The sequence below is a fragment of the Homo sapiens genome, chromosome 2 (genome assembly GCF_000001405.40).
Source record: "Homo sapiens chromosome 2, GRCh38.p14 Primary Assembly".
NCBI classification, from domain to species: Eukaryota; Metazoa; Chordata; class Mammalia; order Primates; family Hominidae; genus Homo; species Homo sapiens.
The window spans coordinates 11,670,501-11,694,910 of NC_000002.12; the positions used below are offsets into that span (position 1 = coordinate 11,670,501).

The 24,410-nt window shown below is 47.4% G+C and overlaps 1 protein-coding gene and 1 long non-coding RNA gene across 5 annotated transcripts in view, besides 2 other annotated features; both read left to right on the forward strand.

Moving 5' to 3' along the window:
• Nucleotides 7,044-24,410, forward strand: part of LPIN1 (lipin 1) — a 149,866-nt gene continuing 132,499 nt past the window's right edge. For all 3 annotated transcript variants that reach the window (NM_001261428.3, NM_001349208.2, NM_001349207.2), the window contains exon 1: nt 7,044-7,228. In NM_001261428.3, the coding sequence (NP_001248357.1) occupies nt 7,148-7,228 (81 nt within the window). In that variant the 5' untranslated portion in view covers nt 7,044-7,147. The remainder of the gene's footprint in view (nt 7,229-24,410) is intronic.
• On the forward strand, nt 10,925-12,823 carry LOC100506405 (uncharacterized). 2 transcript variants are annotated; one of them, NR_187639.1, is made up of 2 exons: nt 10,925-10,992; nt 11,691-12,823. It is a non-coding gene; the product is annotated as an uncharacterized LOC100506405 (long non-coding RNA). The 2 variants fall into 2 exon arrangements; NR_187638.1 differs by having other exon boundaries at nt 11,798-12,823.
• Nucleotides 11,405-12,045: an enhancer, noted in NCBI's record as "H3K4me1 hESC enhancer chr2:11822031-11822671 (GRCh37/hg19 assembly coordinates)". NCBI's record gives its function as "activates a minimal SCP1, AML or CMV promoter by ChIP-STARR-seq in primed H9 embryonic stem cells {active_cell/tissue: H9 hESC(primed)}" and the evidence as "EXISTENCE:reporter gene assay evidence [ECO:0000049][PMID:30033119]".
• Nucleotides 17,411-17,910: an enhancer, noted in NCBI's record as "H3K4me1 hESC enhancer chr2:11828037-11828536 (GRCh37/hg19 assembly coordinates)". NCBI's record gives its function as "activates a minimal SCP1, AML or CMV promoter by ChIP-STARR-seq in naive H9 embryonic stem cells {active_cell/tissue: H9 hESC(naive)}" and the evidence as "EXISTENCE:reporter gene assay evidence [ECO:0000049][PMID:30033119]".

Below are 24,410 nucleotides of genomic sequence, written 5' to 3' on the forward strand. Positions count from 1 at the left end.
TGAGCGAACGTGTGTGTGGAAGTTTCTACCTGCAGCATAAATAGACATGGTGCTTTCGTCTTGCGCCTTGGCCCTTGTGTTGATTTGTGTGTGTGTGCAGCTCGGGAGAGATCTTGGGAAAGACTTTCCCAGCACTTCAGCATTTTGTTATTGTTCTTGCTAAAGGGCTGTTTCAATGCCATCCTAAGAGCCCCAGGAAGCTCCTTTGTCACTGAGAATACATCCTCATGGTGCCACACTTTCCCAGTCCTTTGAGAGTGTCATTCTCATGGAGCTAGGGGATGAAGTGAGAAGTGTTTTTAGCATGTTTTAAAACCTTTCACTTTTCTAAATTCATGCAGAACACCCGAACTTTAGAGCTGAAAAGCCCAGAGGCCTTCTCATTTCATCCAAGAACCCCTGGTATTTACTGAGGGGCAGAATTGAAATTGGAACCCAGGGATCCTGACTTTTTTGTCTTCAGCAAAGTTATTATGGCCCGGTGATAATCAGTTTAATCTTCCATGTGGGCATATAACCATATCTACATTGAAATTGAGATTATGTAAATATACTTTTACTCTGCACAATAAATTTATTGAAATTATAAGCATTTATTGAACGACAAGAATCATTAACAACCAGGGCTGGATTCTTAGGCATGTGACTGTGTTTTTGCATGGGGTCCCATGCTTGAAAAGGCCTTGTCCTGAGTCAAATGCTGTTGTCATCTGGGAATTCTGCATCATTTTTGAACAAGGAACCCTGCAATTTCATTTTGTATAGAGTCTTGCAAATTATGTAGCCAGTTGTAACTACAAATGAGAACATCCCACAAAGAAAGTAAATTGAGCAGAAGTGGTTAGACATATATTCAGTCTGATGTGTTTTGCAATTGAGGGACAAAGAAAGGAAGAGGGCTTTCTTTGTCAGAATATGTGATTTTTTTAATGGTTTATAGCTCCTTCCTAAATGGTATTTTGAAGTTTTAATTGTATTTATTTATTATTTATTTTGAGACAGAGTCTTGCTGTGCTGCCCAGGCTGGAGTGCAGTGGCACAATTTCTGTTCACGGCAACCTCTGCCTTGAGGGTTCAAGCGATTCTCGTGTCTCAGCCATTCAAGTAGCTGGGATTACAGGTGTACACCATCATGACTGGCTATTTTTTTGTTATTTTTAGTAGAGACAGGGTTTCACCATGTTGGCCAGGCTGGTCTCAAGCTCCTGGCCTCAAGCAATCCACCCACCTCAGCCTCCCAAAGTGCTGGGATTACAAGTGTGAGCCACTGTGCCTGGCCCTGAAGTTTTAATTTTAAAAGAAAGGTCGTGTCCACTTAATTTCTTGTGATCTTAAGGAAATTAAGGGATGAATCAACGCCCTAAAACCGTAGGAGAGATGATGAAATTGCTGGGCAGTGGAGAGGCTGTGGTGACGCACAGTGCTCGCTTCTCTGAAATCATTGTTTAGAATAATTTTATATGGGCCGGGCGCGGTGGCTCACGCCTGTAATCCCAGCACTTTGGGAGGCTGAGGCGGGTGGATCATGAGGTCAGGAGTTTGAGACCAGCCTGGCCAACATGGTGAACCTCTGTCTCTACTAAAAATACAAAAATTAGCCAAGTGTGGTGGTGCGTGCCTGTAATCCCAGCCTCTCGGGAGACTGAGGCAGGAGAATTGCTTGAACCCAGGAGGCGGAGGTTGCAGTGAGCTGAGGTCGTGCCACTGCACTCCAGCCTGGGCAATAGGGCAAGACTCTGTCTCAAAAAAAAAAAAAAGGAATAATTTTATATGGTATCTTACAGGTTAAAAAGCTTTTAATGAGTTAATAAACTGCTACAGACCCAAGTGTCTTTTCTATATAGAAGTCTCAGTATATGATGTGAAATCTGAGACAAAATAAAAAACATTTGTCACGACCACTGCCCAGCTCTGTCCCTGTTTCAGCTCTGATTGTGTTCCACCCAAAGACTCCTTGGAGGAGAGAGGGAAGCCCATGTGAACAGGCAGCAGAGAAGTTTGTGTACAATATATGATGTTTGGGGTCGAGAAATTATTTCAGAATAATTTATTTAATATCAAGCAATATATGCCTTTCCTGTCTGCTTCCTCTTTTCTGTTACTCTAAGCGATGAAGTGTATCATGCTTCTCCTTTTGCTTTTGTGCCAGCAACTCAAAATTAAATGTAATATTTACCCTGGTATCCTAAAGGTTAACATTTGTGCTTTTTCTTCTTCACATGCATAAAATCACTTCTGCTGCATATGGAAGTACGATGGTCATTTCAAAGGAAAGCATTACACTTGTCCAAGTCACAAGATGAACTTGCTGCTTTTTCCTTGGAATACTATTTTTACTTGAAAGTATGACTGCCAAACTATGGTTATTTAGGCCTGAGTATTTGGCAGATATTTTCTTAAAAATGAATGAAGTAAGCTGGCGCTCAGGGAAAATAACAGAACATATTTTGGTAAATAAATTTATAACATTTGAGCTTGCAAAAAGAAATCAGAATTTTGGACCATTGTATCTGCCATTATGAACTTGACAGTTTCCCAACATCCAAAGACTTTATTAATGATAACAATGGTGATATGAAATAATGTGATTTTTATATAATGAAATGTATCAACAGTTGGATGATCTGCATGGCTACTAGATGAACTGGTATTTTACAAATAACCAGTGTGTGAGGGTATAAAATTGTGCATGAGTAAAAGATCCATTCAAAAGAGAAAGTAGACCAGTGGATTTTAATGTAACTGATGATGAAAAATTCATCAGTATAGTTTCAGTTTCCATATTGTAACAACCTTTAAGAAACCACTACTTGTCAAATTTGATGTAATACCAGAGAAGAATATCCACAAGTATCTGAAAGATTATTAAAATATCCCCCCAGTTTTTCAAGTATATGTCTGTGTGAAATTGACTTTTCTTTATATACGTCAACCAGTGCATAATATTGGAACAGATTGAATGCAGAAGCAGGGAATCAGTTGTCTTCAGTTTAGCCAGACATTAATGAGATTTGCAAAAATATGAAGCAATACGATGCAATTTTTTTAACTTGGAAACATGGTTATTTCTAATAAAAATGCATTGTTAGCATGTAATGGTTTTTTTAATGAATTAAAAATATATACTTAAAAATTCTCAGTTTTAATTTTAGAAAGTATAACATTTTTGTCTCAGGACCCTTTTATACCCTTAAAAGTGACTGAGGACCCCAGAGAACTTGTGTTTATGTGGGTTATATCTATCAATATTTACAGTATTAAAAGTAAAACTGAAAACTAAAACTAAAAAATTTGAAAACTGTGAGATTACACTTCAGTTTCCACATCAAGTTTAAGGATTCCATATGGATGAATGTTAAACAAATTTTTTGAACAAAATAACCAGTACCAATACATTCTTAACTTTTTAATGGGTGTATTAGTTTGTTTTCATGCTGCTGATAAAGACATACCCGAGACTGGGTAATTTATAAAGAAAAGAAGTTTAATGGACTTACAGTTCCACATGGCTGGGGAGACCACACAATCATGGTGGAAGAGCAAGGGATGCCTTACATGGCAGCAGACAAGAGAGAATGAGAGCCAAGTGAAAGGGGAAACCCCTTATAAAACCATCAGACCTCTTGAGACTTATTCACTATCACAAGAACAGTATGGGGGAAACGACCTCCATGATTCAATTATCTCCCGCCAGGTCCCTCCCACAACACATGGGAATTATGGGAGCTACAGTTCAAGATGAGATTTGGGTGAGGACGCAGCCAAACTATGTCAATGGGTTTCATGTAGCTCATTAAGGCCTGTAGGGAAAGTAGGTTTCTGCTTCTCTTTGGAAGAATCCTCCAAGTGCTTAGCCTCCCAAGGTCTAGGTTGGTGTGATGCTGGGCTTGCAGTCAGAAGAGGTGAGGACAGGTCTTGGCTCCTGCTGCTCATTTGTCTTACGGCTTGTCCAAGTCACGCAGCTTTTCTCAGCCTTGGTTTACTCATCTGAAATGGAGGGGTGATAAGACTACTATCTGCTTTTCCTACCTCATTGAGTTAGGGCAATGAGCAGATAAGAATCACAGGGATTGCTATAATCCCAGCACTTTGGGAGGCCAAGGCAGGCGGATCACCTGAGGTCAGGAGTTCGAGACCAGGCTGGCCAATATGGCAAAACCCTGTCTCTACTAAAAAATACAAAAATTAGCCAGGCACGGTGGTGCACACCTGTAATCCCAGCTACTCACGAGGCTGAGGCACAAGAATCGCTTGAACCCAGGAGGCAGAGATTTCAGTGAGCCCAGATCACGTCACTCACTCCAGTCTGGGCGACAGAGCAAGACTGTCAAAAAAAAAAAAAAAAAAAATCACAGGAACTGAAGCTCCTTGGCTCCTTGGCTGTTACTTACTTCAGGGAGTTAAACCTTTAATGCCTACACAGGAGGGAAGCCCAAAGATAAAGGGGACAGTCTCTAGTCTTTCATGTGTGGCACTGTTAGGGGTGGCTGCGTTTTCCAGAGGGAGCATCAAAGACATGTATTGATGCCTTCTCAGGACAGCTCTAGGTAAGCATTCTCTATCATGTAGAAAGAGGAGAATTTTCTTTGTATTTTCTGCAAGTGGGCGTCTCCAGACAGGTCAGGGGAGGACTGGAAAACGCAGTGAACGTGGAAGTGAGGGAATTTAGCACCATCGAATTGCCGAGGGGGTCCCCTCAACAGGCGTGTGCAGAAGGCTGAGAATTTCTGTCTTCACTAGGGGATCGGGGCACAATGACTGCTCTGCTCCCTGTTTGTAAATCTCATTCGTGGTCACAAGAACTTGACGCCCTTCACAGAGAGTATATCTATGCATAGATGCTCTGGGACTGGCTCTTGCTTCTACAATACTCATCAGAGCCTAATGTTGCCTCTGAATAAGAATAAAACATCATTTGTGTTTGCACTGATTTCAGCCTGTATGGGAAGACTGACCCTTGATATTTGCCACTTTGTATGCAGAATCAAAGCCTTGGCTTTCCTGTTCAACTGCTGAGCAGGCAGCTACCTTCCTCTGTTTCTAATTCAGCAGAGAATAATTAGAACTACTCAGTGCCGGAGGACTCTAACAGGTGTGGGAAGTTATGGAGAGCAGCAGTTCTGAGTCCAGGGATGTGAGAGCTGCTCTATTTTGGGCAATAGCGTCAAGTATTACAAGGCTTTCTGGCTGGCCAGGGGGTGTCTGGGGCCAGGACCCCGGGTTTCCTATTTGCTTTGTGTGCTCTGGGTCCTGGCCTTCTTGTATTTTGCATGCAACCTTTCATTAAAATAACCTGTTCTATAGATTGAGTTGTGTTCCCCAAATTAGTATGTTAAAGCCCAAACTCCCAGTGTGACTGTATTTGGAGTAAGGGAGTAATTAAGGTTAAATGATGTTGTAAGGGTGGGGCCCTGATCCCATAGGATTAGTGTTCTTAAAGAGGAGACACCAGAGAGCATTCTCTTCCTCCCCTGTCCCCTCTTCACCATGTGAGGACATGGTGAGGAGTCAGCCCCAGGAAGAGGGCCCTCCCCAGCACCCCACCATGCCAGCACCTTGTCCCTGGACTTCCAGCCTCTAGTACAGTGAGAAAATAAATTCCTGTTGCTAACCAGTCTATGGTATTTTGTTATGGCAGCCTGAATTGTCTTTGACAGTTACTAATCCCTATGCAGCTTTTGGTCTGATGCCAACACGTGGACTAGAGAGAATATTTAAAAATGCAGAGGTCATTCCCTCTTTTCCTCACTCCAGGATTGAGTCACAGGAGGATTTTCTGACTCAGAGAAGCAGAGTTTACCTTCATAGGAACAACAGAGATGTGTGTGTGTGTGTGTGTGTGTGTGTGTGTGTGTGTGGGTGTCAGAGAGAGAGAGAGAGAGCGTTCTCGATGAGCTCTGGCCTCCACAGAGCTTGGCCGGTGGTGGAAGGTGAGTGAAAGGAGAGACAGTTCCAGTGTTTGTTCCTCTGACTGGGTCCCTCTGGGCTGATTGCCATGGGTCAGCTGACACCCTTGACACCCAAGGGCCGCAGGGTGATCCTCTCCTCCAGCCACTCTTTGGTGTGTTAGTTTTCTAGGGCTGCAGTGACAAATTGCTGGAAACTTAGTGGCTTAAAACAATACACGTTTATCACCTGATAGTTGAGTAGGGTAGAAGTGCAACCCGGGTTTCACTAGGCTGAAATACAGATGCTGGAAGGATGCATTCCCTTCTGGGAGCTCTAGGGGAGAATTCATTTCTTGCCTTCTCTGCTTCCTAGAGGCCACCTGCTGGGATTACAGGCGTGAGCATCTGCACCCGGCATGCATCTTCAATGTCTAGCACAGGTCCTGATATGTGAGAGGTATTCACCTGGAGAGCTGTCGTGATGATGGATGGGGCTGAGTGCCTGCAGGTGGCCTTGGGGCCCGCTGGGAAAGAGGGTCCAGAGTGGCGTGCCGTGCTCAGGGCCATGTGGGGAGTGCAGCATCGCACTGGACCCGGCTCTCCTGATGCTCTGCGGGGTGCTGAGGCGATGCAGAGGAACAGAGAGGACTCCAGAACCTTTCACGCGAGACAGTGGTAGAGTACAAAGTGGAGGAATTACTGTCTAGAAAGCACCATTTCCAGCACTCAGCACGAGGTGGTCTTTCCCTCCACACCTGCCACCAACCTCCTCTGGAGACAGAATATCCCAAGACAAAGAGGATAAATCTGGAAACAAGTAGAGCAGGAGAAAAGCATCCCGGGAACTTCGTGGCCTTGGGGAAGTTATTCAATCTCCGAGCCCTACTGCCTCTGAGGAGCTGGAGTGGGGAGGGCAGGGTACACAGTGCCCCGCGGCTGGCCGGCAGGGGTCATTCCCCCCTCTCTAGTTTCCCCTTCACAAAGGTGACAGAAACTGGCATCTTCTGGAAGTTTTGCATCCTGGATGTTGTTTGTCAGCTGGTCCCCAGGTAGGAGAGCATTTGCAATTCAACACTCTGCTCTTTTGCTGAGCCTTGTGACTTGGCCGGGGCTCCCGGGACTGGTGTAAAGGGAAGCACCGCCTGCCCAGGCTCCAGTGTCACCCAGCCCAGCCTCCCAGCTTCTGAGCCGGTGTTGCCGGGGGACATTTCTCTCCTGATGCTGGGTGAGGAGGCAGACAGCACCATACAGGGCGGGCCATGGGGGAACAGGACGGCATTCGCAGCTCCAGCTGGGAGACCTCGCAGGGCAAGAGCTCCCCAGACTCGGCTTGGTCATGGGTAAGGGCCGGCCATGTGGCCATCTGCAAACACAGCCCCTGCTCTTCCTCCTTCCATCCCCAGGTGCCCGCGTACTGATGGGACCCGGGGAACATTTGCGCCCAGAGCGCCTTGTTCGGGATGGGTTTGTGCATTCACGCTTCCCCAGATAGGTGACCGGCCCCGCTTGCTCCTCACAGGCTCCTATTCAGAAGGCTGCATTTATAGAGGAGGCTGTAGAACTTATTCAAGAATTAAAGGCTTTTTTCTTTGCCTTGGATGGAAAATGCATAGTGATTGCTTAATCTTCAAAATGGGACTTCAGAGCTTCGTGAGTGCCTCCAGCCCATCAGGCACTCTGCTAGAACATCCTTGTCTGTCCAGTTTGTGTGCAGGCCAGGAAGCGAGGTGTGGAGAGTTGAAGGGACCCCTCCAATGTGGTCATTTAACCAGTGCTGTCTCCAATAACATGCTGTGTGTGCTGTGGGGCTTCTGTGGACCCCAAAGCCAGCGGCTGTCCCTACTGCCCTTTTCAGATCTCATCCTAGCAGCCAAGGCTTTTTTGCTGTTGTTGCACAAAAGTAGTTATTTTCACAAAAAAGCCCAAAGCAGGAGTGGAGGGCGTTCGAATAACCCTGAGTGGCAGTGAGTCCCGAGGGTAGGGCCTGGGCTAGAATTCAGAACCCTGCAGTTTCTTCCAGAGGCCAGGGGGTTGGGCTGCAGTGAGGATAATGTGTCAAACCACTGCTCCAAATGGTGCGTCGGGGACACCTGCTGTGGTCCTCAGCTGCAGAGGCTGAGATGGCAGTGAGAGAGGGTTCAGCATGCTTAGGGGGCAGGGAGACCCGGGGTTTTCTGCATCCTAGGGGGATAGAGTGGCGAGGCAGGCCAACCTCCCGCTGCTGGACCCCAAGCACTTGTCGCCTGTCACTTCAGTCAGCTCCATCCTCAGGGCAGTGCCTTCCTTCAGGGACAAGAGGTCCTTCTGGGGCTGGTGTCCAGGCGGCAATGCAGTGAGGGCTCTCTAGGGAGAAAGGAGGCGTGGATCCTGCTCCCACCTCTGCACTGTTTTGCAGCTTGGCCCTTTGGGCAAGTATTTCCTGAATGGACCGGAGGCCTGCAGGGGAGAGACATCAGGCTGGTCCACAACATCCCTCTACATGATGGGGACAGGAGCAGGACCTTCTCTCGGGAGCCCCGTGCAGGTGAATGACACCCACACTCAGATTAAGTAGACCATTTTTGTGGTTAGTCAGGGATTATAATGGCTTTGTCTTGTTTCCTTTGCTGGAATGTCTCTTAAGTTTGCCCGGTGCTGACTGAGAATGGCACTCGCATCTTCCCAGTGGACAGGTGGGGCTCTTATGAAGCTCTGTCTCATGCCCCGCAGGACTGACTCTCTCGCCAGCCTGAGACGCAGGTGTTATTATCATGGCATCTCTCTCACACAAGCCTGGCAGGTGGGGAGCACAGCATCGCTATTCCCATTTGACAGCTGAGAAAACTGAGGCTATGAAGTTGGGACTTTTGCACAGCACCTTGGGAGGGGAGTGGTGGAAGATGGGGAGAGGAACCCAGGCCTCCTGGGGCCCAGTCCAACCCTCGTTCTCTCCTGCACCTCCCTACAGATGTGGAAGTTTGGATTTAATACTGATTTAATATTATGTCTGTTTTCTGCTTATGTTTTATTGGATATTAATTATTTTTCTGATTATAAAAGCATGTTCATTGTAGAATATGTAGCATATACAGGAAAGTTTAAATAACATAAAAGCCTGGGGACTTTGTAAACAGAGGTGGTGCTTCCTTCACCGAAGGCTCCTTGTAATGAAGCTGCAGAGAGGATGTCAAACCCGCCACGTGTCCCCTTGTATTCCATCGCTCTTCCAACCCCACAACCTTCCTGTGTGTTTGATAAACGCTTGTTGACAGATGGACGGGATACTAAGCCCCAGGCTAAAACCCTCAGCAGGCCCCTTGGCTGATCCACCGTGGTCTAGATTCCCCCAACCCCTGCCCCGGCAGTCTCTGTGCGGTGCCCATGGCCTTTTGCCTTGGGGGAGGCAGGCCTCCATGGCTCTGAAGGGTGATGGGGGCCGGGGGAGTCTGGCCTGCTTCCTCTCAAGCTGCAGAGCTGGCTTCCTGCAAGGCTCTGCTTCTGAAGGGGCCTGGTGGCCTTGGCCTTGGCTCAGGCTGGTGCTGCACCTGGAGGAATCTGGCCTGCTTGCTGAAGGGTGGCTGCAGAGCCGTGAAACTGGGAGCGTCACTGGGAGTTGCTGCTGGGGACTGAGTCTGGGACTAGTCCTTGGATGGCAGGGAGGGCTGGGCCCAGAGTTGGGGCTTCAGCAAAGAAGAGAAACTGGGACCTAGATCAGGCAGGCCCCCGATGGACTGACAGCAGTCCAGGAATGCTGAGGGGGGATGCAGGAGATGTGGGTGGGAGAGGTGGGAGCTGTGACTGCCCTGGCCAGAAGCCCAGGCAGGGCTGGCTGGCTTCTGGGAAGCGTAAAAGTGGCTCAGCCACCATAGGGCTGTTTTCATTCCTGGGGCTGGAAAATGGCAGCTGGCAGCAGCGTGAGCCCTCGGAGGCACCTGCTAAGTTGGCAGCATCACCTGTGCTGTTGGCCATGGCCATTCCCAGAGACTCTGGGCTTGGTCTCTGCGCCACAAGTATTTCTGGGCCCTGAGTGTGTGCAGAGCTCTGTGGTGGGGTAACGGGGCGATCTGGGGGCGGTGCGTGAAAGGCCTGGTCTCTCCCTCTTCTGCAGGAGGTCAAGGTGGAATGGGAATGGGTGGGGCTGCAGCTGGCAAGCCACAGAGTTCACAGGGCACAGGTCAAGAGTGATTCAGCCTGGCAGGGCTGGAGGAGGCCTCTCTGAGAAGCTGGCCTTGGAGGAGGAATAGGATTTCAATAAACAGAGCTGACGGGGGTGGAGCTTTCTAGCTGCGGGGTCAGCTTGAGCAAAGGCTGGGGAATGAGTACAGTGTGTTCCCCTAAAGCTAAGTCTGCAGGGGTTGTTCCTTGGGGCGTTGGGACTTTATTTTTTTCTTAGTTGGGGTGTGTGTGGTGACATTCGTCTTGGTCAGGCACCCTGCCTATGAAAGATAGCAGGCAGTCACGGGCCGAATATGTAAGACCCAGAGTGAAGGCCAAAGTTCGGGGGCCACGAGGCCTGGACTCACACCCTAGCATTGTCAGTTACAACTTTTGATTTGCTGAAAATGTAGTTGTCTCATCTATAAAATGAAGCTTATAATACCTAACTATATACTACTCACAGGTGCTTGATAAATGGTAGCTATTATTAATACCAGCACTACACCTGAAAGCAGATGGCCTGTGGTGACAGGCTGGACTGCAAATACAATGGTGCCAAGACACTGAATCCCTCTACACTGGCCCAGTGGACTCAGAGAGCACTGTAGGGGAAAATGCATGGAGCCAGGTCCTGCATTTGTCTCTGTATGAAGAACTCTGAGTTCAGTCTTCCTTTAGTCACTTAGCTTGGCATTCAAGGCCCCTCAAAGGCTGGCCCCACCTCTCCGCCTGATATGGTTTGGATGTGTGTCCCCCACCCAAAGCTCCTGTTGAATTATAATCCCCAGTGTTGGAGGAAAGGTTTGGTGGGAGGTGATTGGATCATGGTGGCCGACTTTCCCTTTGCTGTTCTCATGAGAGATCTGGTTGGTTAAAAGTATGTAGCACCTCCTTCTATTGTCTTCCTCTTCCTCCTGCTCCGGCCATATAGGACGTGCTGGCTTCCCCTTCGCCTTCTGCCGTCATTGTAAGTTTCCCGAGGTCTCCCCAGCTATGCTTCCTGTACAGCCTGTGGAACTGTGAGCCATTTAAACCTCTTTTCTTTATAAATTACCCAGGTTCGGGTATTTCTTTATAGCAGTGCGAGAACAGGCTAGTACACCCCCGTCGGCTCTGTTCTTTCCTTCTACCACGTCCCCGTGCTGCCCCTGGGACGTGCTGAGCCAGGCGTGTTAGTTGGGTCTCCAGGGAGGTGACCATTCAGGACCCTGGACCCATTTTGTCACCTCCAGTCCATGTAGGCTTGGGGGTTGGACTTGGGGCCCCATCTACTCAGAGCTTTTGTTTGCCACCTGGGTTCATTTGGCTTCACCAACCAGAGGCCTGAACAGAGGCTGGGCGACGTCCTCTCCTCTGGGGCCCCTTTCTACAGGGACCTTTGGAGCGCACGCCCCTGACGGTGGCCGGGTGTGGAGACAAACCCAGGGAAAGGGTCCACTTCTCCCATACCGCGAACCCCCTGAAATGCCTGTGTGGGCTGCCCCCTGGTCCTGGGAGGGCTCTCGGGAGGCTGCTACCTCTGGCCGGCCTGAAGGCACTGGCGCCTGGGGTGTTCGTTGTGGGTGAGATGGAAACAGAGAAGAAAGCTGCAGGCCTCCGTGGGGAGCGGGGCTTTGGGCCTCTCTCTCCTCTCAGCGTCCTGGGCTTGCCCCACTCCTCCTGCAGGTGAGCCGTGGGGAGGCCTTGAGCGCCCCCTGGAGGTGACACTCTGCCACTACACATAGGAAACCACCTGGAAACCCAACCACAGTGTCTGATGTGACTTTTCTTAGTGACAGGAAATTAGGATGAGCACGAGCAAAGTCGGTGGTCACAAGGGAGCAGCCAGGCCAGTCCTGCTTAAACTCCTGCTGTTACATGTTTGCGATTGAACTCGTAGCAAGCTGCCGATGGAACACAACCTGCCTCCGGCACAGACGCCGATCTTCAATCCCTTCTCCCCAGCACCGGTGACAGCCCTAGTCATCCTTCAAGGCCCAGTTCAAATGCCTCCATCTCCATACCATTTCAGTTCGTGGTTGGGGATAGGAGCTCCCGTCGCGATCGTCATCTTTCTGCTGCAGACAGATTTTGTTTCCCTCTGTAAAGTTGGAGTGCAGGGGACAAGGCTCTGAACATAGCATTTAAGTGACAGAGATGGTTGTGGTCATGTCCCAGTATGTATTTATCTATCTCCTGCTCCAGTAAATGTCACACTCCCCGGGGCAGCGAGGGTGTCACCATCTCGGTGTCCCCACAGCACCTAGCACAGTCTCCCAGACGATCCAGGGCAGACCCTTCGCATGGGAACGCAAGTCCCTGTTTGTCCGGGTCACTCAGGTTTACGCCTATTGTCCTGTAATTATTTATGCACCCTCTTTTGCTGTCATAGGTGTTGGGTTGGAACAGTCACCCTATTTAGCACACACCTATTAAGCCAAAGCACCTTAGTGTGTAGGCTTCCCTCACCCAAACCTGTTCCCAAAGGTCCTTTCTCACCGGCTACTTTGGGGGCCCCAGTAATCTTCCCGACCCCTCTGGTCAGGGCCAGAGTGGGGAGCAAGTGTCTAAAGCAAGGCCTTCAACAAGGTCCCTTCCCTGAGAGACTCAGTTTGTGACGCTTGTGATTGTGAAGCTCAAATGGATTATGTGACTCCACATAACTCTGCAAACTGTGGTGCGCCCTATTATTGCCGTTTAACTTGTCAGTGTCGGTTCTGCACCCCTGCAGGCTCTGTAGGGGCTGGAGAAGAACACTTGATTTGGAATTTCGGTAATAGCCAGTGAGCTAAGAACCACATAAAATAATGCAGATCATATGAAATGCGTCATGTGTCATTTTGTCTTCTGATATTTAAACATGCTCAAGTGTATGGTAGAGAGCGTGAGAGAATGGGCTGAGCTGGGCTGGGTATACTTGAAATGATGACTCCAGACATGGGAGATGGGAGCGGCTGAAGGGAGGCAGCCCATGAGTCGCCCTTTGGGAGCAGATGGCCTGGAGTTGAACGTGAGGGATGGGGATGAGGGACTGAGAAGGAAGAAGAGAAACAGGGAGGTCTGAGATGGCTTTTACTCTGGGAAGTAACGGGTCCGCCCTTCTTTGTCCCTGCCTCCTGCCTCCTCCTGGACTCTATGCAGAGGAGAGAAGATGGGGCGTGGCTTCCCCCCAATGCTGTGGTCGTCGAGGTAAGCAGATTTGCCCTGCCCTGCCCTGCACTGCCGCTCTGTTCCTCCAGGACGGCTGGTGTTTATGTGAACATCCTGCTGCACCTGAGGAAGGGACAGGTGTGGTGAAAGCCAGGCTTTGTCATCCAGGTGCCCTGGCTTGGAATCCTGGCTCTGCTGCTTCTAAACTGAGCTGTGACCTTGCCCAAGTTGCCTTGAGCCTCTCCCAGCCCTGGGCTCTTCATCTTTAAACTGGGGCTGATGACGCTGCTTTACCAGCCCAGCATGGGGGTGAGTGAGGTGAGCTCGGAAGAGTCTTCTTACTTTTCTCATAGCAGCTGCATGAAAGGTGGATTAGAAGAAGCTGCCAGGCAAAGTATCCATTTAGTGAAAATTCAGTGTGAACTGTACAGTCTGTGAACCTCTGGCAGGTATCACGCTGTCTCTTGTGATCCGAATGGCAGCTCTGGGTCTGGGCTGGCTTCTGGAGCTGGAGCCCCCACCCTTCCCAGTGCCAAGGCTGCTTCTGACGTAGTAAGCAGGTGTGTCTGCTAGAGCAAGGGCCAGCCAGGGTGATGGACTCTCTTGTCTCCTGGGCTCAACCAATCCTCCCACCTCATCCTCCCAGGTAGCTGGGACTACAGGTGTGTGCCACTGCAACCAGCTAATTTTTTTTTAAAGTTTTTGTAAAAACAAGGTTTCTCTATGTTGCCCAAACTGATCTTGAACTCCTAGCCTCAAATGATCCTCCTGCTTTGGCCTCTCATAGTTCTGGAATTACAGGCATGAGCCACTGTGCCCAACTCTCTTGTTTTTGAAGGAAGAACCAGAGTAACACAGAGCTGGAGGGTGGTTGGCATGGAGTATTGGTGCCAAAGTTTTCACTGACCCGTGGTGAACAAAGAAAATAAGACAATGTTGTGGGGTAGATATGTTCATGTGACTTGGCCCATTCAAATTCCCTGGGAAAGACTATTATTTATCCTGGGAGAAGGCATTTTCTATTTTGGGGAGGTTAAAGTATCTTTTATGAAAAGAAAAATACTTTCCTTCCATCCCTCCCTCCCTCCCTCCCTTCCTTCCATTGTTTTTCATTTTTTAAGATTAAAAGTTGACAACCTTATGTCAGTTACCACGCATGCTCCCTGAAATGAAAATTGTAAAAGATTATTGTCTTTTCACTCATTTGCTTATTCTAGTAATAAATATTCACTAGGCGACACTGTGGCCGGCACTCTTCTAAGCACTGGAAATGAGCCGTGAATAAAACAAACATCCTGCCCTCCTGGAGCTTACAGTCCAGGTGGGGGAGAAAAGAATAAGCAAGTGTCTAAGTAACATGCATGTCAGATGGGGAGAGGGGTTGTGGAGAAAAAGAAAATGGGGAAAGGCAACGGGGAGCCCGAGACGGGAGGATGACGTAATTTTCAATGGGGAGGTTGGGGAGGTCACAGAGAAGGTGACATGTGAGCAAAGACTTGAAGGAGCTGAGGAGTGAGCGGAGGCCTCAGGAGGTGTCAAGGGTCCTGAAGCTGAAGCATCTTGGCAGGTTTGAGGAATGCCAAGAGGCCAGTGTGGCCAGAGCTGAGAGGACGGGAAAAGTGGGAGGAGATGGTGTGAGAGCGGTGTGGAGGCTGGCGGAGCACAGGCCAGCATGGAGGCATTGGCCTCGACCCCACCTTGGGGTGTCATGTTAAGGGGACCCACCTCCTGGGCTTTCGGGGCAGGGCAGACATGATGGACCTGTTGGGAGGCTGTTGCAATAATCCAAGTGGGAGGGGATGGTGGTTTGAACTAGGTGGTAGCAGAGAAGGGTTTTGAACCATTTACTCGAATAAACTCTTTAGAATTTTATTGTGCCTCAGTTTACCTTTTAACAGAATTCAGATGAGAAATCTAGGCTGGAGATACAACTTCAGTCCCTGAAATACAGAGTTTAAAAACTCCAGATCTGGTGCATCCTTTTGTTTTAGAGACGGGTTACCGAGTCCCCCCAGAGGGTAGCAGGTGTCTTTTCTAGGCATGCCTATGGCAGAGCTAAGACTAACAGTCACTTCCTGATTTCCCATCGAGGAATGTGTGTAAACTCAGGTACCATTTTGAACTTCCCTTTGCATTTAGATTTGGAATACACTTGGTCTTGTTTCTCGTTCCAGAGATTTCCCTCTGTTTCTCTTTTCTCAGCCCTTCACATTCTCCCCGTGCCTCTGCTTATCCAACCCCATTTCTTCTTTTGGGGTTGCATTCAATTGATAGAGCACTTGGACATCCTGGGAGACAGATTGCCACCACCAATGTCCAGTGACCCTTCCAGGCCTTGTGTAAGTGCAGCCTTCTCCAGCCGCCTGGAAACCCCCCAGCTGGTGGGATACCTACATTCTCAACCACACAGCAGCTCGCTTTTAGAATTTGGCCCCTACTTTCCATTGTGGTTATGTTGGGATGGGCCACTGGCACACAGCAAGCGCCTGGAACTTGCTGAAGAAACAGATGCAGGAATGAAATGACCAGGTGAGCGTGCCTAGGTCTTTGGTGAGCTTTGGCCTGTTCTGGGCTTCATCAATGTGCTGAGGATCCCCGACCCCGCTTTTGGCACTTATCATGTGATCACCCACAGCCCCTGGGCTGTCCCTTTGAGAAAGCCCTGCCCAGCGTGGGTGGGATGTGCCTGGAGAAGGGGGAACCAGAAAGTGGGTGGGCCCAAGAGCAATCAAGAGGTGCTCTGTAGTTAGCCCCCAGGGTGAAACAGGAGAGGAGGGCTAGAACGCTGGGTTGGACGGACTCCGGGAAAGATGGAGGCTGGTGGGGAAGGACGGTGCTGGAGGGTCTGGCACACCTGAGGCCTGTGTGTATTGGCCCTGGACAGAGGTTGTGTGGTGACTTTTGTGGATGGGTTGTCCTCGTTTAAAGGGACAGGAACAGGGTGGGTAGCCATGGCCTGGGCACCACGGGCAGAGCACACACCCGCGGGAAAGAGCACTCTCCTTCTCATGCGAGCGAGCAACGAGATGCCTGTGGCTGTGTTCCGAGGGGGTCTGACGCTCACCTTCTGCTCTCATCACTCCTATGTGAGGACCCATGAATACGCCCCTCACAGTGTTTGCAGTTGGAATGTGTGTCCATTAGTGATTAATCGATATGGGTCCTTTTGTGGGTAAGTAGAGCCCAGGCACTCACCTTTCCTCTTCTGCCCCAGCTGCTGGGGGCAGAGTTTTGTTTGGTGCTCAAAGGCAGGATTATCTGTGGTCTAGATTTCAGGAATCATTCTCTCCACTCCCTCCCAGCATTCTGAATCCTGCTCCATGTCATAGCTTTTGATCCTTTTTTTTTTTTTTTTTTTTTTTTTGAGATGAGGTCTTGGTGCGTTGCTGAGGCTGGAGTGCAGCGTGATCACAGCTCACTGCAGCCTCGAATTCCTGGGCTCAAGTGGTCCTCCCACCTCAGCCTCTTAAGTAGCTGGGACAACAGGTACACACCATCATGCCCAGCTAAGTTTTAATTTTTTTGTAGAAATGGGATCTTGCTCTGTTGTCCAGGCTGGTCTTGAACTACCGTCTTCAAGTGATCATCCCAAAGTGCGTGAGCCACTGGGCCTGGTCCTGATCCTGATCTGTTTTTAAACAATTCTATTACCCAGTTTTGTTTTTCATCATGCTTCTTGAGATCCTTCTAGGCCTTGATAAAGTATATAAGAAAATAATACTGAAAGTTTGAAATAAATACGACTGTGAGACTCTTGTAAGTTGCTCTGCGGCTGGGCTCAGGGAGGGGCAGGCGGATGTGATATCTCCTATAGCATGGACAGCAAGGCAGGGACAGGGGGCTTTGTCTCTGAACTTGGGAAGAGTTTGTTATTACTAGGATGAAGAGAATGAGACTCTGTAGAGGGGAGAATTGCATTTAGTAGGAGAGAAATACAGAGAATCTGAACAGTTCAGAGAATCTGGCTCTATCCCTGACCAAGTGGTTTTGACCAGGCCTGCAATACATTTGTAGCAATGACACCTTCCCCATAGGGCTGTCCATAGACTGCGTGAGACCCTGTGTGGATGCTGCAAGCACAGGGGTGCCCTCAAAAGTAGCCAAGCTCACCAACACTCACGGGGGAGGCAGCATTGGAGACCAGCCTTATCAGGTGGGTGGCTTGTGACATGCACTTTTATTAAATGAGGCCATGGCAGGGCCGCAGCTAAGTCTCTGCAGTTTATGGTCTGCATGGTGTGCTGGCCGAGAGGACACCGGGGGCTGAAACCCAACCTGTGCTTGACTCATCACGCCCTCCGGGCTCTGGGACTGAAGCTGGCTGGGACATTGAAGGGGAAAGGGCACCTTGTTGAAATTTGTCCACCCAGAGGTCCTCTTTGTTAATTCTGCCTGGAGGGACTCTGAGTGTCAGTGGTGGCCCAGGGAGTTGAGCCTCTCCATAGTTCTCAATGCTTCACTCTCCGACGCGGAATTCTTGTTATAGCTGAAAATATCTGCAGGTCCCTGTCTATAAATGGAATAAGAATGGAGCAACTGCTGGAGATAAAAGGACGGAGAGCTTGGAGCCCTCCCTTCTCAAGCTTCCTTTCTTTTTCCTACATCAACCCTGCCACCTCCTTGCCAGCTCCACCCTCCCTCTCCCCACAGTCACCCCAGGGCTCCTTGCAACATCCTTTGAAACTCCTAGAGGAAGTAACCTCCCAGAGCTACCACTCTGGAGTTGCAGGCTAGAATTCTTTTCAGAGCAGCACGGAGTAACAGTCTTCAGACTTCAGGACTGAGACTCTCTGCATGGCAGTGGCTGGGAGGATCCAGTTTCCACGCCCTGCTGTATTTTTCAGGCCCCGCCTGTTCCTCATTTACCCCGTAAAAGTGCAGCCCTTCGCAGAAACATCTTGCGGTCGCTCGGGTCCCGGTGTCCTGGCCCAGAAATACCCTCTAGAGGGCGCTGTCACGCTGAGACCCGGGACAGGACGCACCGGCGCGAATCAGGGCCCCTCGCCACAGGGGAGTGTTGACAAATGGAAAATGAGTTAATACATACAACATTTTCAGCCGATAATAAGAGAGTTTTGTTGAAATTCTTGAGTGAATTCTCTTTATCTAAGGATAAGGTGATTTGAGTTTCAAAACAGTTCAAAATAAAGGAGAAAGGGACTTGGCTAGTCGGTTTCTTCACCTGATTTGACCCAGGCAGAAATTGAGTTATTAATAGCCATTTGATAGGCACTTCGCAGTTAATGGTGAAGCAAGACGGGATCAAGTTCTAGTTTCTACCCAATTAGAAATGCCCACTGGGTGAGAGGTCACCAGATACAAAGAAAAGGAACAGCAAGTCTTCTATGCTGAACACTGAATTTGAGCAGCCGACTTGTATAATGGTATTTTGCAAACACGACTTATTCCAAATTTATGGATAATTCGAAGTGCTTCGAAAATGAACAATGTCCAGGTTGATTATTGTTTTTGTTTACCGAGTGCTCTCTCTCCATGCCAGGGCCCTATGAGACATTTTCCATATTTTGTCCTACCGATCCTTGTAAGAAACACACAGGTGATTCTTAGCCTCAGTTTACACATGGAGGAGCTTTGAGAGATTAATGAACTGCCCTGGTCGTTTCAAAGTATTCTGATTTTTTCGCATGAATTGCTGATGGCTAAGGCTTTGCCATCTGGAAGTTCTACAATGGACTTTTGAGGCTTAGTATATTTGTCTTCAATATCATCTTGTTGGTTTTAGACCTGACGAGGTCCTTTCAGATTTTGATTTTGTTATCCAACATACTGATTTTGTGACTTTTAAAAATCTGACTGACTTGCTTTCTTTTCTTGACTTCTGTTGAATTTATAATTTTAAAATATAATTTTTCTATCCTCTTTTCTGTTTTTGCTCAGTTAATTCCATAATCACAGAACAAAATTATATTCTTTTAGTGGTTCTCCTTAGCTTTTGAAAACATACCTATAGGCTGGGCATGGGGGCTCATGCCTGTAATCCCAGCACTTTGGGCCGAGGCAGGCAGATTGTCTGAGGTCAGGAGTTCAAGATCAGCCTGGCCAACATGGCGAAACCCCATCTCTACTAAAAATACAAAAAAATAGCTGAGTGTTGTGGCGGGTGCCTGTATTCCCAGCTACTTGGGAGGCTGAGGAGGGAGAATCTCTTGAACCCGGGAGGTGGAGGTTGCAGTGAGCCAAGATCGTGCCATTGCACTCCAGTCTGGGTGACAGGGTGAGACTCTGTCTCAAAAAGAAAAGAAAAGAAAACATACCTGTATAACAAATATTGTCTAACACAGTTTGAATTTATTTATTACTTCTATACTCCTGCCAAACAGGGCCTAGGCCTCAGCTCACTTTGAAAACCATTGGGTACACCCTTATTTTATTAGTCTTGTCCAGAGTTTTAGTTTTTGTTTTAAAGAAAACCTAAAAATTTCAGTTATTGTTTTCAGTAAAAAAAAGAAAAATGTTAATTATAATATGTCCAACCTCTTGTATCTTTATCTACACTTTTTGCATCCCAAACCTTTTGTCTCAGTTCATGATTTCATGGTTCTTCTAGGGACTGTCTATGGAAGACAAATTCCTTTAGTTTTTGTTTATCTGAAAATGTATTTTTTTTTGCACTTTCTTTTCTTGAATGGTGGTTTAGCTCATTATAAAATTATAGGTCAACAGTTGCTTTCCCTCAATATTTAAAAAAGCATTAGTCTTCCATGAGACATTTAAATATTATCCTTTGCCATGTGTGCTCTGTGTTTCACTGTAATGTGTAGGTGTAGATTTATTTTTATTTACTCTTCTTAGTGTTCAGAGTCTGCTTTTTTACTCATCACTCGTTCATCAATTTTGGAAGATTCTCAAACATCTTTTCAACAACTTCTTCTTTGTGATCTCCTTAATTCTCCTTTCTGGCACGATTAGACACAAATTTGAACCTCACTGTATCCTCCATGCCTCCTAGCTGCTGTTTTACTTCTTTCTTAATCTCTTTGACTTGCTGTGCCTGCTGGATGCTTCCTTACTATATTTTACTTCATTAATTCTCTCTTTTATGTTTCCTGTTAGGTTTTATCTACTATATTGATATTTATGTTTTAATTTCAATGACTATGTTTTTCATTTCCAGTATTTCTAATAGATTCTTTTCCTTTATTTCATTGTTTAATTTTTGATATGTTTCTGTTTCATAATTTCTCTTTTTAATGGAGGTTATTCCTTAATCTGTGTCTATATGTATCTCAATTATTCTCATTTAACAGTCATTATCAGATTGTTCAATAACCTGATAATGACTGTTAAATGAAAATAGGATACATCATGATGTAAGTCTATATTCCAAATATTTATTTTGTGTGCTGTCCTTAGCATTAGACATTTTGCTTGAGGGCTCATTTTGAGTGGATTTAAAAATCTTGTTGTGGTTTTTTTTTTTTTTTCTCTCTCCTTTAATACCCCTCACACCAACTCCTAGTCCTTTGTTCTCTAGCAACAAGGCTGGGTGATTTGAGGGTCCACCCTCAGTCCTGTGGTTTGTAGTTGCCTCCCCAGGTCCGGGGGCACAGTCCAGAGCCAGGCCTTATAACAGCACTTCCAAGCTCCCGTCTTACAGTGATATGGGGAAATCTGGGCTCTGAATGAAGCAGCCTTTGGTTTCCTTCCTGCTTGAAAGGTTGGGTCACTTCCCTCTATTGCCTTGGCCCTAAGCAGTAGGGCTGCAGACATGTTTAAGCCTCTTTTCACCAGCATAGGAAATCCCTTCCCAGGATTACCTTCAGTGTGAAGCCTGGCTCCCGTGTCCCATCTATGCTTTCCTCCTCAGGTGCTGACCTCCAGCCATTACCTCTTTCCAGGCCAGAGACTGTGCCGGGCCTGTGGCTTCAGCTCCATTCACCATGCACACTTCTAATCTGTCTTTGGTTCTTGCACACTGACTGCTGTTGGAGCCCGGCTATGTCATATTTGCTTATCCATTGATATACTGTGGGCTTGGATCAGAGGGGGTGATTCAAAATACAAGTTCACTATACCATCTTGACCATGAGCCACAAGCATGCTTTCTCTCCCACTTCAATATTGATCAAATATCTAAGAAGGAAAGAAAGAATAGAGCCAGTGGCCTGGCATGAGAAGCCTCCATCCAAGTTGATTTCCATATTTCTTAGAAATAGGAATGTCTAAATGCTGTGCTTGATACACTATTACCCAACCCAGGTTATCCAACTATCCTTTAGAGCATCATGAAAGATCTTATCAAATGCTTCTCTGAAACCCTGACCTACAATGCGAGTGTGTGTGTGATTCCCTTGATTTGCCAATCTAACTATTCTATGAAAATGGAAAGCCTTTTCCTTAGCAGAGTTGTTACTGTGAGTTCTGGGGGCTGTCACTTTCTTACAGGCTGTTACCCTAACCCTAACCCTTGTTTTCCGATCTGAAGAATGACTCACTTGGGGGAACCCAGGATGAAGTCCACACACTGAACATACCTTGCTGTGCATCCTAAGGAAATGCTGGCATATGTAAAGCAAAAAGGCATCTGTCCTTACTGCCCCAGGGATTTTGAATATTTTTGCTTTCTGTGAAAATGCCACTAGAAAGTTTGGTCCCCTTTCCTTCTTGCCTTGGCACATACTTGGCACATACTTGGCACATACTTGGCACATACTGGCTGTGTGGCTTCAGTAAGTCACTCTGCACTTGGGTGGCGTCATCTATAAAATGGGTTGCTGTGCAGATTAAACAAGGCAGTGCAGTGGTTCCCAAATACTAGAAACTCCTGGGAGCTTTGCAATGTTCCGGGTTCTACCCCTGTTGATGTTGACTCAGTAGATTTGAGTGGGGCCTGGGAATATGTAACGCTAGTGAATTCTTCAGTTGAATCTGATCTTGTGGCATAAGTTTCTAAAGTGCTTAGCAAATAGTGCTTAGCAATAAGGAGCACGATACGTGCCCTACACATGCGTCCACCTCCTTCTTTCCTCCCCCACCTGCTGTCTCCTCTGCTTTCCTCCCAGGTACATGGTGCTCTGGGTGTTCCCAGTTTGTGTCACAGGAGAAAACCATAGGACAAAAATCATTTAAATTGCCCTTCTCCAGATGTTTTTGATGAAAATAGTCAGAAAAAAGGACAATGCTTACCTCAAAGTTTTCATTTAAATTCTACCTCCAGATATCAGGCCTATCCTCTTCCCTTTGTTAAGCCCCATGATACAGAGATAAATAGGATTCTGGCTCTGCCCCTGAGATCTTAGGAATATATTTTCAGCCTGAGAAATTTAAGGCATTGAGGCCAGCTGAAGTTGGAGAGAAATATTATTTTTGGGTAGGGACTGGCCAAATCCTACCCTAGAGGCTTTCTCTAGACTTGGGCCCAGTTTTGATTGGAAGGAAGATTCAGGGTCACTGTGACAGACAAGATGGGTCCGATAGGTGGAGCTAGAGAGTCGGAGAAATAGAAAAGGCGGGGCACTCGTCCTCAAGGTCCCAGCAAGGCCAGGTACAGTCGTGGTCCAAAGGTCTGTCAGAATCACCTGAACAACATTTTTTTTTTTTTTTTTGAGATGATGGAATCCTAGGTCCAGCTGAAATTTCTGGCATTGAGCCTTGGGCATGTTTAGCAAATTGCCCATGTGACTCTGATGTGCAGCCAGGCTTGGGAAACACTGATCTGGAGATCCCAGAATTTTCTAACGTGACCCGGGCACTCTGCTGAAAGATCTGGTCAGCAGTCTGAGCTGGTCTAAATCTAGAGCCCTGCACTATTCGGAGGAGCTAATGAGAAATGCTGACTCCCAGGCCCCACCTTGGACCTGCTGAATCAGAATCTGCATTCTCAACAAGCACCCCCTTCGGTGGTTCGTAGTTTCCTCGTGGTGTGAGTGGTCACCTGGCACAGAGCTTCTTGTTTATATCTGAAACTATCCCTACCATGGGCACTCCCTGAGACAGGGATCACATTTTGCCCTTGGCACCTCTCTGAGCCTCAATTTCCTCATCTTCAATGGGGGTGGCAATGATATTTGCTGTACCTCCCTCTCAAAGTTCGTAGGGGCACTAATGTCTGACTCCCACATTAGATTGTGAATTCTTGGGGGCAAGAGCCATATATGTGTGTGTGTGAGTGTGTATATATATATATATATATATATATATATATATATTTTTTTTTTTTTTTTTTTTTTTTTTTTTTGAGATGGAGTCTCGCTCAGTTGCCCAGGCTGGAGTGCAATAGCAAGATCCCGGCTCACTGGAACTTCCGCCTCCTGGGTTCAAGTGATTCTCCTGCCTCAGCCTCCCGAATAGCTGGGATTACAGGCCTGAGCCACCACATCTGGCTAATTTTTGTATTTTAGTAGAGGTGGGGTTTCACCATCTTGGCCAGGCTGGTCTTGAACTCCTGACCTCAGGTGATCCACCTGCCTTGGCCTCCCAAAGTGCTGGGATTACATGCGTGAGCCACCATGCCCGACCAAGAGCCATATATTTTTAAAATTTCTGCATGCCCAATGCCTAGCATTGCATGAATTAGTCATTTTGGAACAGAATGATAGAACCCTTGAAACAGAAAAGACTTCATAGATTGTACAGAATAATCCACTCCAAGAATGTGTGAAGAAACTAAGGTGAGGTTTAGGTTGTTATTGTTACTCGAGCCTATCTGAGAGGCTCATGCAAGGATTCAAAGAGCACGCCACCATGGCTTCTAGTCTCCATGATGTCCTTCTTCTTCCTTGACTCTTCAGAGCTCAGCTCTGCTCCAGCATCTTGGTAAAGCTCCTCTGACCCCTCTGGCCACTGCCACTTCCGTGCCCTCTGAACTTCTGCAGCATTGAGTGTCTGTGTCACGTGTTTGCCTGCAAATCCTGGGCTGGTTTCCTTCTACCTTCTGTCCTTGTGTATGTATCTGAAGCTTGCAGCGCTATATCATAATGCACCTACCAAGTTCTCTGAAGATGAGTCCATGGTCCTTGGTGTACCCCCATCTGCTTCCCAGCCCAGCACCTAGCACAGGGCTGAGCACATGATAGGCATGGCTAAGTTTTAAAATATCTGTTAATTTTATACTCTGGGTTCTCTTCAGATTGCATGCATCTTTTGCCTTTTACTAAACATCTGTTAATTTTGTTAAAATATAAAATCTCTCACACATACAAAAGTTATAAGAAATAATATAAAAAATTCCTGAATCCTCACCACTACGTTAAGAAATATACAAGCAGTATTACAGCCGAGGTTCTCTATGAACCC